This window comes from Homo sapiens, chromosome 14, assembly GCF_000001405.40.
Source record: "Homo sapiens chromosome 14, GRCh38.p14 Primary Assembly".
Taxonomy (NCBI): domain Eukaryota; kingdom Metazoa; phylum Chordata; class Mammalia; order Primates; family Hominidae; genus Homo; species Homo sapiens.
In genome coordinates, this window is record NC_000014.9 from 22,970,345 (window position 1) to 22,983,635 (window position 13,291).

General features: G+C 52.7%; 1 protein-coding gene and 1 long non-coding RNA gene across 4 annotated transcripts, besides 4 other annotated features; one reads left to right on the forward strand and one right to left on the reverse strand.

Moving 5' to 3' along the window:
• Window positions 1-832: 832 nt before the first annotated feature.
• On the reverse strand, window positions 833-12,207 carry AJUBA (ajuba LIM protein). 3 transcript variants are annotated; one of them, NM_032876.6, is made up of 8 exons: window positions 10,917-12,207; window positions 8,000-8,101; window positions 6,301-6,368; window positions 6,112-6,174; window positions 4,630-4,760; window positions 4,495-4,546; window positions 3,703-3,771; window positions 833-3,224 (listed from the first exon to the last, which is right to left on the reverse strand). In NM_032876.6, exons 1-8 carry the CDS (start codon window positions 11,920-11,922, stop codon window positions 3,099-3,101), a joined length of 1,617 nt encoding a protein of 538 aa, NP_116265.1. In that variant the 5' UTR covers window positions 11,923-12,207; the 3' UTR covers window positions 833-3,098. The 3 variants fall into 3 exon arrangements, with proteins under 3 accessions (NP_116265.1, NP_932352.1, NP_001276026.1); NM_198086.3 differs by lacking the exons at window positions 8,000-8,101; window positions 10,917-12,207 and having other exon boundaries at window positions 6,301-6,498; NM_001289097.2 differs by lacking the exons at window positions 833-3,224; window positions 3,703-3,771; window positions 4,495-4,546; ... (2 more) ...; window positions 6,301-6,368; window positions 8,000-8,101 and adding an exon at window positions 8,263-8,692.
• Window positions 4,554-5,054: an enhancer, noted in NCBI's record as "H3K27ac hESC enhancer chr14:23444107-23444607 (GRCh37/hg19 assembly coordinates)". NCBI's record gives its function as "activates a minimal SCP1, AML or CMV promoter by ChIP-STARR-seq in naive H9 embryonic stem cells {active_cell/tissue: H9 hESC(naive)}" and the evidence as "EXISTENCE:reporter gene assay evidence [ECO:0000049][PMID:30033119]".
• Window positions 7,356-7,650: an enhancer, noted in NCBI's record as "tiled region #809; HepG2 Activating DNase unmatched - State 25:Art". NCBI's record gives its function as "activates a minimal TATA promoter and a strong SV40 promoter by Sharpr-MPRA in HepG2 cells {active_cell/tissue: HepG2}" and the evidence as "EXISTENCE:reporter gene assay evidence [ECO:0000049][PMID:27701403]".
• LOC124903287 (uncharacterized) lies at window positions 7,483-8,877 on the forward strand. The gene is made up of 2 exons (XR_007064076.1): window positions 7,483-7,757; window positions 8,306-8,877. It is a non-coding gene; the product is annotated as an uncharacterized LOC124903287 (long non-coding RNA).
• Window positions 11,256-12,221: an enhancer, noted in NCBI's record as "H3K27ac hESC enhancer chr14:23450809-23451774 (GRCh37/hg19 assembly coordinates)". NCBI's record gives its function as "activates a minimal SCP1, AML or CMV promoter by ChIP-STARR-seq in naive H9 embryonic stem cells {active_cell/tissue: H9 hESC(naive)}" and the evidence as "EXISTENCE:reporter gene assay evidence [ECO:0000049][PMID:30033119]".
• Window positions 12,222-13,187: an enhancer, noted in NCBI's record as "H3K27ac-H3K4me1 hESC enhancer chr14:23451775-23452740 (GRCh37/hg19 assembly coordinates)". NCBI's record gives its function as "activates a minimal SCP1, AML or CMV promoter by ChIP-STARR-seq in naive H9 embryonic stem cells {active_cell/tissue: H9 hESC(naive)}" and the evidence as "EXISTENCE:reporter gene assay evidence [ECO:0000049][PMID:30033119]".

Genomic DNA, 13,291 nt, shown 5'->3' on the forward strand with positions numbered 1-13,291 from the left:
GTGCACCCCACCATGCCTGGCTAATTTTTTTATTGTTAGTAGAGACGAGGTTTCATCATGTTGGCCAGGATGGTCTTGATCTCCTGACCTCATGATCCTCCCACCTCAGCCTCCCAAAGTGCTGGGATTACAGGGGTGAGCCACTGTGCCTGGGCAAGACTCCCAACTCTTAAAAAAAAAAAAAAAAAAAAGAGGCAGGGCTCAGTGGCTGACAACTGTAATCCCAGCACTTTGGGAGGCCAAGGCAGGCGGATTACCTGAGGTCAGGAGTTTGAGATCACCCTGGCCAACATGGCAAAACCCTGTCTCTACTAAAAATACAAAAATTAGCCAGGTGTGGTGGCGCCGGCCTATAATCCCAGCTACTCAGGAGGCTGAGGCAGGAGAATCACTTGAACCCAGGAGACGGAGGTTGCAGTGAGCTGAGATTGCACCATTGCACTTCAGCCTGGGCAAGAGAGCGAGATTCTGTCAAAAAAAAAAACCCTGAGAGCCGGGCACAGTGGCTCATGCCTGTAATCCCAGCACTTTGGGAGGCCGAGACAGGCAGATCACAAGGTCAGGAGATCGAGACCAGCCTGGCTAACACAGTGAAACCCCGTCTCTACTAAAAATACAAAAATTAGCCGGGTGTGGTGGCGGGCGCCTGTAGTCCCAGCTACTTGGGAGGCTGAGGCAGGAGAATGGTGTGAATCCGGGAGGCGGAGCTTGCAGTGAGCCGAGATAGCGCCACTGCACTCCAGCCTGGGCGACAGAGTGAGACTCTGTCTCAAAAAAAAAAAAAAAAAAAAAAATATCCCTGAGGGGATGGATGTAAAGTTACACAAGCTTGTCTGGATTTCCCATCATAGGGCCTTTGTATTCACTTATTTAATAATAGTTCAGAAGAAGCTATCTCAGCTGTACAAGAAGTAATTCAGTTTCAGAACATTTCTCACTCCAACAAGGTGCATTTTCCCCTCTGGCGCTCAGTTGTATAAATCTGACCTCTTTCCCTCTCACTCAGAGATCTCTTTTATGTATTTCCCAGGTTGGCTGGCATAGTCACCTTAGAATAGCCCCCAAATGTGGAAATTCTGTTGTCAGGAGTCATCATTTCCAGTAAGAAACTCACTGAGTGACAGAAAATGAAGACTAAAGATCAAAGATTACTAAATTAATTTGCCTAAAACCAATTCACCTAAAACCAATTAGTCTAAAATAAATATTTATCAAATCTGCAGCATTTCAAAAGGATTTAGCAGATTCACCCTTTTAGTTATTACTGTTGTCTGTATAACTTTTCATTGTAAGTCAACTGAATATGCCTCATGCCTATTCATTTGTTTAAGATATACTGGCCTTTTTAACAGTAGGAATGTAGAAGTTAGACCAAAGCATCAAAATCACATTGAACTCCATTATATTTTTCAAGGCATTTAATTTGTAAAGGAATATTGGATTAAGAAACAAAAAAATGATACACAAAATGTCTGTACCAATTGTATTTATTGCTAGAAACTTTAAACTTTTTAAAAAAGTTTTTGAATGGTAGATAACATAGAAAAAGACATCCATAAAGGTAGGAAGCAATCTCATCATTTACAAAGTGCTGCAAATTTGATAAATTTATGTTGCTGATAATAGCTCAGAAGTACTCTTGGATGAATAGATATAAATCCTTGAAATATCCAAAGCATGACAAAAAAGAATAGGACACCTAAATGGATATAAACACACCAAAATAGGAATTGAGCTTTTGGCAAATTAGTCATTAAGTCATTAACTTTAAGCAAACAAGTTTTCAGTAAATTGGTTTTAAGAGATCTAGCTTTAGGTGAACTAGTTTCAAGCAAACTGACTAGTATCAAATCAGTGTTTTGCTCCCTCCAGTTCCCCCCAACTCTAGTTTTGGGATTGTGATGGATGCAATCCGGGACCCCTCTGAGAGGTGGCAAGTGAGCTTCTACTAGGAAACCAAGTGTACAAGTGACCTGAGAAGAGAGTAAGAAAGAGTGAGAGAGAGACAGAGAGACAAGAGAGAGAGTGTGTGTGTGCATGAACACACCCACACATGCATACACTGGGCTATATGGCTCAGTGCACCTAAACTTGGGAATGTGGCTAAGCTGAAGCTTCCTAGACATCCCCCCAACAAGCTCCACACCCACAGAGATCTGCTCATTACCTCCCCCAGCCAAGGAGAAGAGCAACCACGTACAATCACCTACCTAGCCTCCCCAGACCCATGTAAGTTCCTGAGAAACAGGGAATACAGGCAGCAACCCCACTCAGAGCTGGTCCCCATTCTCAGACAGATAAGGAGCTCTCCTAGTCCTTAGAAGAAGGCCAAGAAATAACTCATTAATGAGGTCCAGAGTTTCTACCTCTTCATCCAGATATAGGTGCGGGACCCCATATCTGACACCATGTGTCACAAAAAGTGAGGAGCTTAAATTTGGTTGCCTAGCAGGAACTCACCACCCTAGACTTGCTACCTCTCAGGGACATCCCACACTGCATCAACCACAACCCCAAAACTCTGGGGTTTGGGGGAGCTGGAGGGAGAATTACACTTTGATTTGGTTCTAGTCAGTTTAGCTGAAACTAATTGATTTAAAGCTAGGTCCTCTACTCCTGGAATCCAGGACCAGAACATTGCGTGACTCATGCATAATCATACACTAGGCCAGACACAGTGGCTTACGCCTATAATCCCAGCACTTTGGGAGGCCAAGGTGGGAGGATCATTCGAGCCCAGGAGTTCAAGACTAGCCTGGGCAACATGGTGAGATCCCATCTCTAAAACAAACAAAATATATATACTGAAGATACAGAATCAGATGTTCAGAAAGTCCTGGAACCCTCCTGTGTGTGCCTAAGCTCAGACTGCACACATGGGAAAAAGGCCAGTCGCCCCCACCCTGGTAAATATAAGGTTTCTCTTCCACAATCCATTTGGAATATCATGATCTTTGGGTCTCCGGCCCTTGGGGTCCTCCCCAGAGGACTCTTCTGCCAGGCCTGCAGAGTGCATTCTTTGCCTTGGCTGGCCTCAGAGGGGCCCACTGGCCACAGCAGTTTGTCTGCAGGGTGACAGCAGCAGCAGTGATTGCAGCTCAGATATAGTTGGCAGGGGGTTGTCGGGCATTGAGCCGCTGCATGTGGCAACCATGGCAGAGCAAGTGCCCATCCAGAGGGAAACAGCAGCAGCCTTCCTCATCACTCAGCTGCATCCGGCAGTCCTAGGGAAGAAGGCACCTAGTTCACCTCAGCCTAGGCACCTTGGACACTGAGGGTATCTTAGGAGTCTGCCCTGCTCAACACCTGACTCCTAATAACTGGAAGAAAGGGATGGGGTGGGAAGGGAAGGATGGAAGGGATGGAAGAGCAATCTGAGAAAATACTAATACCTCAGCTGGACACCAGGTGTCACTGCTGCAGCAGAAATAATGACACAAGCCTGTCTTTCAAGAAGTTTGACCAGAGTCCCTAGTCTTAGAAAGTCCTGACTCTGGGAGAGTCAGATTCAGAAAGGACTAAGCTACTTGGACCAGAGAGAGTGGCTGGAGGACAAAAAAGAGACTGAAGATAGGTCACAATATCTTTCTGGTTTCCCATGCCCTACACCTCTCCCATAGATGTCTGGTTGTTGCAGGACTTGACTCCTCCCCTCTCCCCATTTCCACTTCTTCTCCAGCACCGCTGAACCCCAACACTCACCTCACAGTGGTAGCACTCAAAGTGATAATCCCGGTCCATGGATATCACCCTCACGATGTCCTCACAGCCCTGAAACATGCAGACCCCCATGGAGATGAGAGCAGCATGTTGCCTCACCTCCACCTTTCCCTCATATACAACCCTTCCCACCCCATGGGAAGATCATACAAATGCCCCCAGAGTCTCTCTGCAATCACCTGTAGTTTTAAGATGCTTCTGCAAATCCTACCAGAACTCTCATCTCCTTCACTGGGCTGCACCCATGGAGCACACTCCCTCTGTACAACAGCCCTGGCCTTACCTGCGTCTCTCAGTTGTGCAGGAAGCAAAGGGAAGGGAAGGGGACAGGAGGCCTAAATAAAGTAGGCTAGGCTGGGAACAAGGGGATCCAATAAGATCTGGTCCTCACTGGCTTTTGGTTTCTCTCCATAGGCACATCCCCTACACTCAGCTTAAATCATTTCTGACCCCTTCCTACCAGTGCTGAGGATTCTTCCCACCTTTTTCCAGCCCCTACATCTGCAGTCTGGTGACCTCGACCTCAAAGAAAGTCTCCTCCTCTGGACTGGGATAGAAGAGATGGAGCCTGGGCCCAGTTAGGCTTTCAGACATGTCCAGGCCCGGATATTAGGGTCAGGGTGGTGACCCCAAGAGGCAGAGTCACACGGGAATCTTCACAGAGTACATTCCTTGGCACTACCACTTCTGGCAGGAGGCCAGGCAGCATGTCCCTATCCCCTCCCCAAAGGCAGTGGCACTGGCTGCCCTGAAGGAGAACCCAGACATACTGACCTCAGAGGGGAGGATGGGTTGGCCACAGGCTGCACACTTAGGAGCATAATTTCTGAAAGAGAGAGGGAAGAGATGAGCTGAGGCTGGGGAATCCCTGGACCCAGTTCCACACTGCATCCCAAGGGGCAGACTCACTTGTGGTAGTCGGTGACACAGTATACTTGGTTGGAGAAGTCCACTGTGAAGGGGATGCCATCCAGGCACTTGTTGCAAACAATGCATCGGAAACAGCCTGGATGATAGGACTTCCCCATTGCTTGTAGGATCTGGCTCATGGGGTAGCAAGAGAATCAGTCTCCCTCCAGTCCCAGCTCTCCAGCTGCCCATTATGCTCCTTATTACTCCCATTAACCTCATCCAACCCGCTGCTATACTCCCAGAACAATGCTATGTAATGTCGGTGAAGAAGTCGTAAAATGGAGGCGGAGACCCTGAAAAGTGCCTGAGAGAGCATTCAGGCCAGCAGTGTTTCACTCTGGCTGCATATCAGGATCACCTAGGCAGCTTTTAAAAAACATCAATGCTTTGGCCCTCCTCCAGGCCTATTATCACAATCTGTGGTGATGGGATCCAAACACTGTTTTTTGTTTTGTTTTGTTTTTTAGTTCTTCCCAGCTGATCTGCTAGGCTACCATGATTGAGAATCACTGATTTAATCCTATCTTTTGTTTTTACAGAAAAGAAAACTGAGTCCCAAGTGATTCTAACCAGTAGCAGAAAGGGGATTAAGACTCAGGACTGGCCGGGCGCGGCGGCTTACGCCTGTAATCCCAGCACTTTGGGAGGCCGAGGTGGGCGGATCACAAGGTCAGGAGATCGAGACCATACTGGCTAACACAGTGAAACCCCGTCTCTACTAAAAACACACCAAAAAATTAGCCGGGCATGTGGCGGGCGCCTGTAGTCCCAGCTAGGCAGGAGAATGGCGTGAACCAGGAGGCGGAGCTTGCAGTAAGCCGAGATCGCACCACTGGACTCCAGCCTGGGCAACAGAGTGAGACTCCATCTCAAAAAAAAAAAAAAGAAGACGACTCAGGACCCCAGGCTGGGCATGGTGGCTCACGCCTATAATCTAGCACTTTGGGAGGCTGAGGCAGGAGGATCACTTGAGGCCAGGAATTCGAGACCAGCCTGGCCAACATGGCAAAACCTTTTATCTACTAAACATACAAAAATTAGCCAGGCATGGTGGCGCATGCCTGTAGTCCTAGCTACTTGGGAGGCTGAGGCACTAGAATCACTTGAACCTGGGAGGCGGAGGTTGCAGTGAGCCGAGATCATTCCACTTTGTCAGAGCGAGACTCTGTCTCAAAAAAAAAAAAAAAAAAAAGACTCAGGACCCCACACTCCTAGCTCAGGCTGGAAGGCCTGGCTGTGCCTGCAGAGTTAGGGAGGGGCTAGGTCATAGAAGCCTGGGTTGACAGGCTTTTGAGCCCAGACTTGATCCCATAGGCAGAGGGAAGCCACTGTAAACAGTTGCTCTGGGGAGGAATGGGATGAAAGTGATTCATCTGGTGACAGGCTTCTTTCCCCAACCTTCTCTCAATATCCATTTAGTCCCTGATCCCGCTCCTCAGCCTCACAGTGAGACTTCTCAGCTGAAAGCACTTTACTTACCTTCTCCAAAATCAAGTGACCACAGACACAGCATTTCTCAGCTGCCTCCTGAAACCCTGAAAACTAAAGTAAAAGACAAGACGAACGGAGGCTGTTATCAAACTGAGAATGATGGGTGGTACTCCAATGGGCCACCAAGAAGGGGGTCAGTATGGAAACCAATTCCAGGTCCAGGTGACCCTTACTCACCAGATAATCTTCCTCACAGTACACAGAGCCATTGACACTGTAGAAAGCCTTGCAACGCAAAGTTCGCCCTAGAAACAATAGAGAAGGGGCTGGAACCTATCCCACAGCCCAGGTGCAAGACTTCTGGGGTCACTGCTCCCCGCTGCTGCATAATATATTTAAACCTGGACTTTGTGCTTTTCCTCCTAACTGCTGTCTGTCCTTCCCCGCACAAAAATTCCATCTGATGCAATTCCAATTTGCTTTGGCTTCATTCCAGCCAACTTCCCCTCTCCTCTGCTTGCTGCTCCTCCAGCTCCTGCCTCCTTAACAGTTTTCTAGGGCCCCTCCCCTAAACAAACTGCCTTCCTCTCCAGTGCATAGGAAGCCACCTGGGAGAGTAAAGCCAACTACGTGCTGGAATACGTGAGCTCTTAATAAGGTGCTATATGATTTGCATAGAGAGAACCACATTGTTAACAGGCCTTTCCCTCTGGGACCCTTCAACCTAGAAGCCTCTTTGCCTGAGCATATCTATCCTGCTCTCAAATGCCTGTCTCCTTCCAGGGACAGACTCCATGGAGGTCAGGACTGGAGTTACTGCAGAAGGACAAAGTGCTTTGTTTGGAAGCAAAGCAGGTCCCCTCTCCTGTTTGTATAAGGCTGCTTCCCTAAGCTTAGAGGGACCCAGAGTCACTGGGGTAAGAGACAACCCAGGATCTTCTTCCAGCAGACAAGGCAGGACAATTCCCCATGTGACCAACCCCCAGGAACTGCTCCCAGGTGTCTACATTATCAGGGATAGGGAAGGAGTGAGAACAGGTGGAGCATGAGCAATTTTCCCACCTTTGCCTTCTTCCCCTCAAAATCCCTACTTCCAACTCTGTCCAGTGGGTTAGGAAAGCTGACTTAGAAGCTCATGAGACACAGGGGAGGAAAGATAGGGAAAGAGATATAGCCAGAAGAGGCCCTGTAAACAGAAGGATAGACAGACAGATGAGCCTAAAGAGAACCAGGCAGAAACTGGGGGAGTGAGAAAAGCTGAGTGCTGAAGTCAGACAGGCAGAGATAGGAGATTAAAGGTTTAGCAAAGGAATCAGAATGGGTAAGCAGTAAGGAGGGGGTAATGAGGGAGGGGAGGGGGGCAGTTAAGGCCGCTGGGAGCATCCCCCCTTTCCAAGTGGGCCTCCTGAGCTAACAGTGGCAGGCATTCCTGGAGCGTGATGTCATCAGCTTGGCATGGCCCGGTGGCCTGCACTCCAGTGAGGTGGCTGAACTCTGACCAGCCAAGAGAAAACCCCCCTCTCCGCCCCAAACAGCTCCCCACTCCCCCAGCCTGCCCCCACCCTCCCCACATTCCAGTCTTTCACTGTCGCCCCAGGCAACTTGGCTGCCCAAGACCAAGCCCCACCAAGAAGCTGGAGGGCCAGGCAAGTCCAGGATGGGCAAGCAGGGAAGCACGAGAGGGAGAAACAGAGGTGAGGAAGGAAGGAGGGACTCCAGAAAGGGGACCCACCAGGCGGAGGGAGAGCCAAGTAGAGGACAGACAGGGAAGCAAGAGAGGCAGAGCAGCTGCGGACCTCCAGACACTTGGTGGGGATCCAACAGCTGCTCTGTGAGCAAATGAAGAGGCACAAGCTCTCCTCCTGTTCCCCATAGCACTTGTAAGTGTGTATGTGGGCAGGGGAGGGGAGTGCTTGAGTATTGGGGCTACACTCACCACAAGAGCAGCAAACAAAGCACTGGGTGTGGTAGAGGCTGTCCAGGGCCTGGCAGGCATTGCTCTGCCCATAGATGCCTTTGTTGCACTTGATACAGGTGCCTGAGAAGAGAAAAGTGTCACACTCTACTCCCCCAGGTCAAAACCAGGGATTCCCAAGCTTTCCTGACTGCCCTTTCCTGATGTGCCAGGGGTCACAGTCTCCCTTTGATGGGCTCCCTTCTGAGTAGAGAAGATAACGAGTAATGAGATGCAGCAAGATCTTGGCTGAGCAGATCCATTCTTGTTTATTTAATTACTCAACAGATATTTTCTGAGCATCTGTTTTGTGCTTAACACAGCACCACTACCTAAGGAAACCTGGAGAAAGTCGAAGATATGGTCCCTGGCATTCAGATGCTTAGTTTCTGTTGGGGAGAAAAGACTACACAGGCAAGGTATGATCTCTGTTGCAGTGTGTAGGATGAACGGTCAAAGATGCCAGTCCACAGGTGCTCAGCAGCAGACTTGAAAATACTTTCTAGAGAAAGCAGGCTAGGCCCAGAAATCGTCTCTGGGACTTCAGTTTCCCATCAGTCAAACGAGCTGTTCAGTTATAGAATGATTTCTCTCCACTGCAGACTTCCAAGGATGGAGAAAAGGATCTGGCTTGGCAGAGGGCTCCGTGCAGAGGGGACCATGTGAGCATGATTCCTGTGGGGAGGTGGCTGCTGAGAATGCAGGGTGTGTTCCAGGAACCAGGGTTGAACAGGAAAGCAGGGAGAGTAGCAGAGCCCCTGATGCCTCCTAGTCACCTTCTATCATGGGAAGAATACAGAACTGAACTGCTTGCTATTCCCCAAAATCCCCCACTAAGATATATACACCTGGCTCTGGGACTTGCCTTTCCTGGGTGTGTTCTTCCCTCCCTCCACTCCCCAATTCCAGGCCCATGAGTGAGGGCTAGGGCCTGTCTTTGGGGAGCAGATCCCAACGGGCCTGCCCCACCTCTCCCCCTCGGCACGCTGCCACACTCCCTGCCTGTTGGGGCCCATCCCAGTCTTTGCCCAGGGGCTTGGGAGCCTGTGCAGCAGCTGCAGCAACTGATGGGCCCAGGCCTGTCCTGCTCCCACCCTCTGGCAGCTGGGCAAGGCTGAAGCCAAGGAAGAGGGCCCCTACTAGGGGCAGGAGGAGGGTACAGTCAAGCTGGGGCTAGCGGCACAAGGGGTATGTAGGGGTTCTGTCAAAGGAGGCAACCTGACTCCCAAGGAGAAGGGGCCCCCATCTCTGAATTCAAAATGTGGCTTCCTCATGGAAGTGAAGATCTGCCCCAAGATTGCCATGCCAGGGGGTCCTGTCGGAGCCATTCTTTAGGAAACCTTGGACGTTATGGGAAAAGCAAACGAAACTGCTCAGGCACGTTGGCCTCACCTCCTCTAACCCAGCATATCTATACCTATGTTCTTCCTGCCATTTTATTGCAGTTTCTCTGAGTTCCTTTCTTCCTTTTGGCTCTGATGGTTCAGCCAAAAAGACTTCTTTACTAGCCACCTCTCCTGGGCCTCAAAATGAAACTGCTAAATGGGCCCTGTCATTCAGTCTTCCTTGATCAAAGCGGTTTGGCATCATCTCCTCTGGGCTTTCCTCTCGGTGGATTTGGAGGTGGGGAAAAGAATGGGGGTGGAGGCTGGGGGTTGAGTTATGCCCTTATAGCCTGCCGCCCTGCTACCTCTGAACCTCCTACCCAACCATCCCTCCCTGGCCGCGTTCCTCTTCCTATTCACTTTTCTAGCCATAGAGTTCTACAGCATGGGGTCCAGGAGTGGGGCATGAGTGGTAAGAAGAGATGCTTAGAAAAGTGAAAGAGGCCCACAGCCCTTAGGCGGTAAGCCTGCCACTTCTTTCCAATCACAATCAGATTCGAAGTTTTTTATGTGTGTAGCAGTGCCTGTGAATTTTGACTAAAAGATCTTTCAAGACCCTAATGTTCCTCATAGCTGAGACATATAATCAATCAATACTTCCTGAACAGAGTAGGGGAGGGAGACAGCGACCAGGTTTCCTTAACAGTGTCAGGAAGTAAGGCGCTACTTCTGGCCTGAATTCTGAGAGGTTATAAGCAGAATTCAAGGCCAAGTTATTTCTGGCAATAACACAGGGTCGTTATCCATCCAGAGGTAATGGTGTCCCAGTAGTCATGACTTTTACCCTGACTTCCGGAGGATGGGGAAAATAGAAGCTGGTACTACTGGGTCTCTGATTAAATGCCCACGCACGCACCTAGCCAACAGGACTGGGGAGGGACAGCAGTTGGGTCCCAGGGCGCTCCATCCTGTCTCCCAGGCTCCATTTCCCCGACAGCCGCCACTACTCCGCGTATGCTAGGGAGCGTCCCCCGATCCCCGAACCCCACCCCTCCGCCGCGCGGCGGCAGCCGCCCCGCCCGCGGGCACCTGGAGCGCCCGGGCAGGAGTCGGCACGCACGCGGCCAGCCTGCCCCGCCCCCCCACCCGCGCATTCTCCGAATTCCTGCGGGCGGAGCCTGGGCCCGGGTGGGGGCGCGGCGCGCACAAACCTCCAGGGGCACCGCCGTGAAAGGGGGGAGCAAGTTGGGGGGGATGCGCCTTCACTGCCCCACTTGGTCCCTTCCCTACGAGGCCTCCTGCCGCAAAAAACCGAGGTTCAAATGCTTGAGAAACGGACTCACGAGATACCAGGGGGGTTGAATTTAGCAGAAATAAGGAGCCCTGGTTCATCTGAAAACTAGCAGGAAGGGGACAGTGCTCTGGGGCCGCCCCCATCCATCCCTCTTGCTTCTTTCCTAGTCCCGCGTCTTCACCTCGGACCCCGGGGCACCGGCACTTTGGGCCGTCGGGGCAGTGGAGAACCGAATACCGTGACGGGTCCCTTCCCGTCCCTAACCACTTCTCTCACTCACCGAAGTAGTCCTCCCTGGCCTCTGGCTCCCGCATCCGGGCCCGGGCGGCCTCCGGAACGAAAGGACCTGGTGGCTCCTCCAGACCCGACGGCTCAATCCCCGAGGGTTCTCCGCGGGCTCCGGCTTCTCGCCCACCGGTGCCCACCGTCAGGCGAAGCAAAGCTGTTAGCTCGTCCTGGTACCGGGCGCCCACGGCGCAGTCCCCGTAGCCGGTCACAGAGTGTCGTCCGGGTTGCGCCCCCCGTCTCTCCAAGGGCCCCGCCGCTCCCACTCCGGCCCCGGCTAGAGCTCCAGGGCTGCCCAGGGCCGGGGGATACGAGTGGCGGCTTTCCTGGCAGCCGAACCCCGCGGGCCGCTGAGCGTACAATCGGTCCAGGGCGGCGTGGAGCTCCGGGTAGGCGGACGGGACCCCTCCGGGAGAATAGCCTGCCGGTGCTCCGGCCAGGGGTGGGCCAAACAGGCACGGCCCCGCTGGCAAGGGGCTCCCGTGGCGCTGGTCGTAGCCCATGCTGATGCCGCTGGTGCGATTGCTGCAGGGCCGGCTACCTCCAGCTCCGCCAGCCCCCGCCCCGTCCAGCAGCAGGCTGCCCCGGGGGCTGGACGGCTTGCTCGCGTCGCTGGCCGAGCTACTGGCGAAGCTAGAGCGGGGGCTGAGGGCCGGGGCCGTGGGCTCCAGCCGAAAATCGGGGGGCAACGACTGAGGTAGAGGCAAGGCCCGGGTGGGCGGCGGCCCCGCGGGAAAAGAGCCTTCGTAGCGCGGCGCCTCAAAGGAGCCGCGCTGATTTCGCTCAGCGTCCAGGGAACCTTGCTCCCGGGCCGGCTCCAACGGCTCATCCCCAGGTCCCCCAGTAGCTCCTCGGGGCCCTGACTTCCTAGGTCCCCCCAACCCACTTAGGCGCCCCTTGCCCGGCCCGGGGGTCCCGTCAGACCCAGACCGGCTAGATTCACCCTTTCTGCGGCCGAACTTCTCCAGCAGGCGACTGGCTTTCTCTCCTAACCGCTCCATGCCCTCGGGCCTGGGGCCTCTCGCCCCCTCCCCGCCTGGCACCCTGCGGCGTCTCGGCGGCCGGTTCTCTTTCCCTGCAGCCGGACTCTGGTTCCCCAGGGGCACAGGGGAGGCACAGGGGCTTAGCGGGCGGCCTGGATGCCCTGCGCCAGGAATCCCACAGCATCCCCCAGCGGGAGGGGCTGCGTCCCCCCGCGCATCTGGGGCTGAGCGGGGCTAGCAGGGTCTCTGGCCGCGGCTGTCCAGTCCGCAGGTCTATCTGTTCACGCGTCGACTCGCCCGACTGCCCCACTCTCCCCGGCCCCCGCCCCCCTAGCTCTCACGCTAGCCACAGACCGAACTTCTCTCCCAAACTTTTGTCTGCCTGGCCGGATCTACTTTCCTAGGGGGGCGGAGCGCGGTGTGTGCGAGAGCGCCGGGGGTGTCCGCGCAGGGATAGCTGGTGTGCGTGCAGCGGAAGGCGCTAACTGCCCTGGATGTGGAGACCCGCGGACTGGACGTGAGAGGCGGGCAGGGGCAGTTGGGGCAGCTGCCCCTACAACACTGAAGAATTGGAATAGGAAAGAGTGTGGGGGTAGGGGACGGGGACTCTTTGTCTGCAGTTGGAATGCGCGGAGGGGCATGGTGGAATGTGTCGCGTCCCGGGACCGGACGACAGGAGGCATGTTCTGCGCTAGCACCGTGACTTTGTTCCCAGCGTGGGGACTGTGGGAGAGATGGAGAGAGACTGGTACAGAAATGGTGAGACAAGGAGAGAGCCATAAAGAGGAAGACAGAGAGAAAGAAGACAAATGCATAAAGAGGTTCAGAGACGTGTACGTAAAGATAGCCCTGAAAGGCGACGAAGCCCACAGAGAGAGGTGGAAGAGGGAAGAGGTAGCGAAAGAAAGGGAGAGCTGAGGAGCAAAGAGGAGTGTGGACGATGCAGAGACCGAAGGGTGCGCAGACAAAGGAAAGGACAAGCTTGTCCAGAGAGAATGAGAGACAAACAGATAAACTGCAATAAAAAGGCACCACCTTCTGGACCCAAAAGTTTTGTGATTTGTAAAAGCAGTGAAAAGGAGTCAGGAAAATGGGACTAATCTCTACTTTGAGAGGGAGGGAAAGAGATATAGTGTGTATGTAGAAGCAGTGAAAAGGAGTGAGGAAAAGGTTTGGGACTAATCTCTACCTTAAGGGTAGGACAGTTAGAGGGATAGACACCCCCTGGTGTTGGGAAATGAGATTTTTCTCATTTCAGGTGACTGTGGAGATCGAAGGCCTGGTTTTAGGGCTAGCGAACACCTTCTCCCTTTGGTTTTGGTCCACAGAAGACTGGTGATACAGAGTAAGTATTAAGAGGAAGAAAAGAAATGCCGTGTAGAGGAAA

Coding starts and splice junctions, on each gene's coding strand:
- AJUBA (NM_032876.6), bottom strand. CDS start 11,922: ATGGAGCGGTTAGGAGAGAAAGCCAGTCGCCTGCTGGAGAAGTTCGGC. Junction 6,369..7,999: donor CTTTGTTTGCTGCTCTTGTG/GTGAGTGTAGCC, acceptor TATTGTTTCTAG/GGCGAACTTTGCGTTGCAAG. Junction 3,225..3,702: donor TTGAGTGCTACCACTGTGAG/GTGAGTGTTGGG, acceptor CTTCTTCCCTAG/GACTGCCGGATGCAGCTGAG.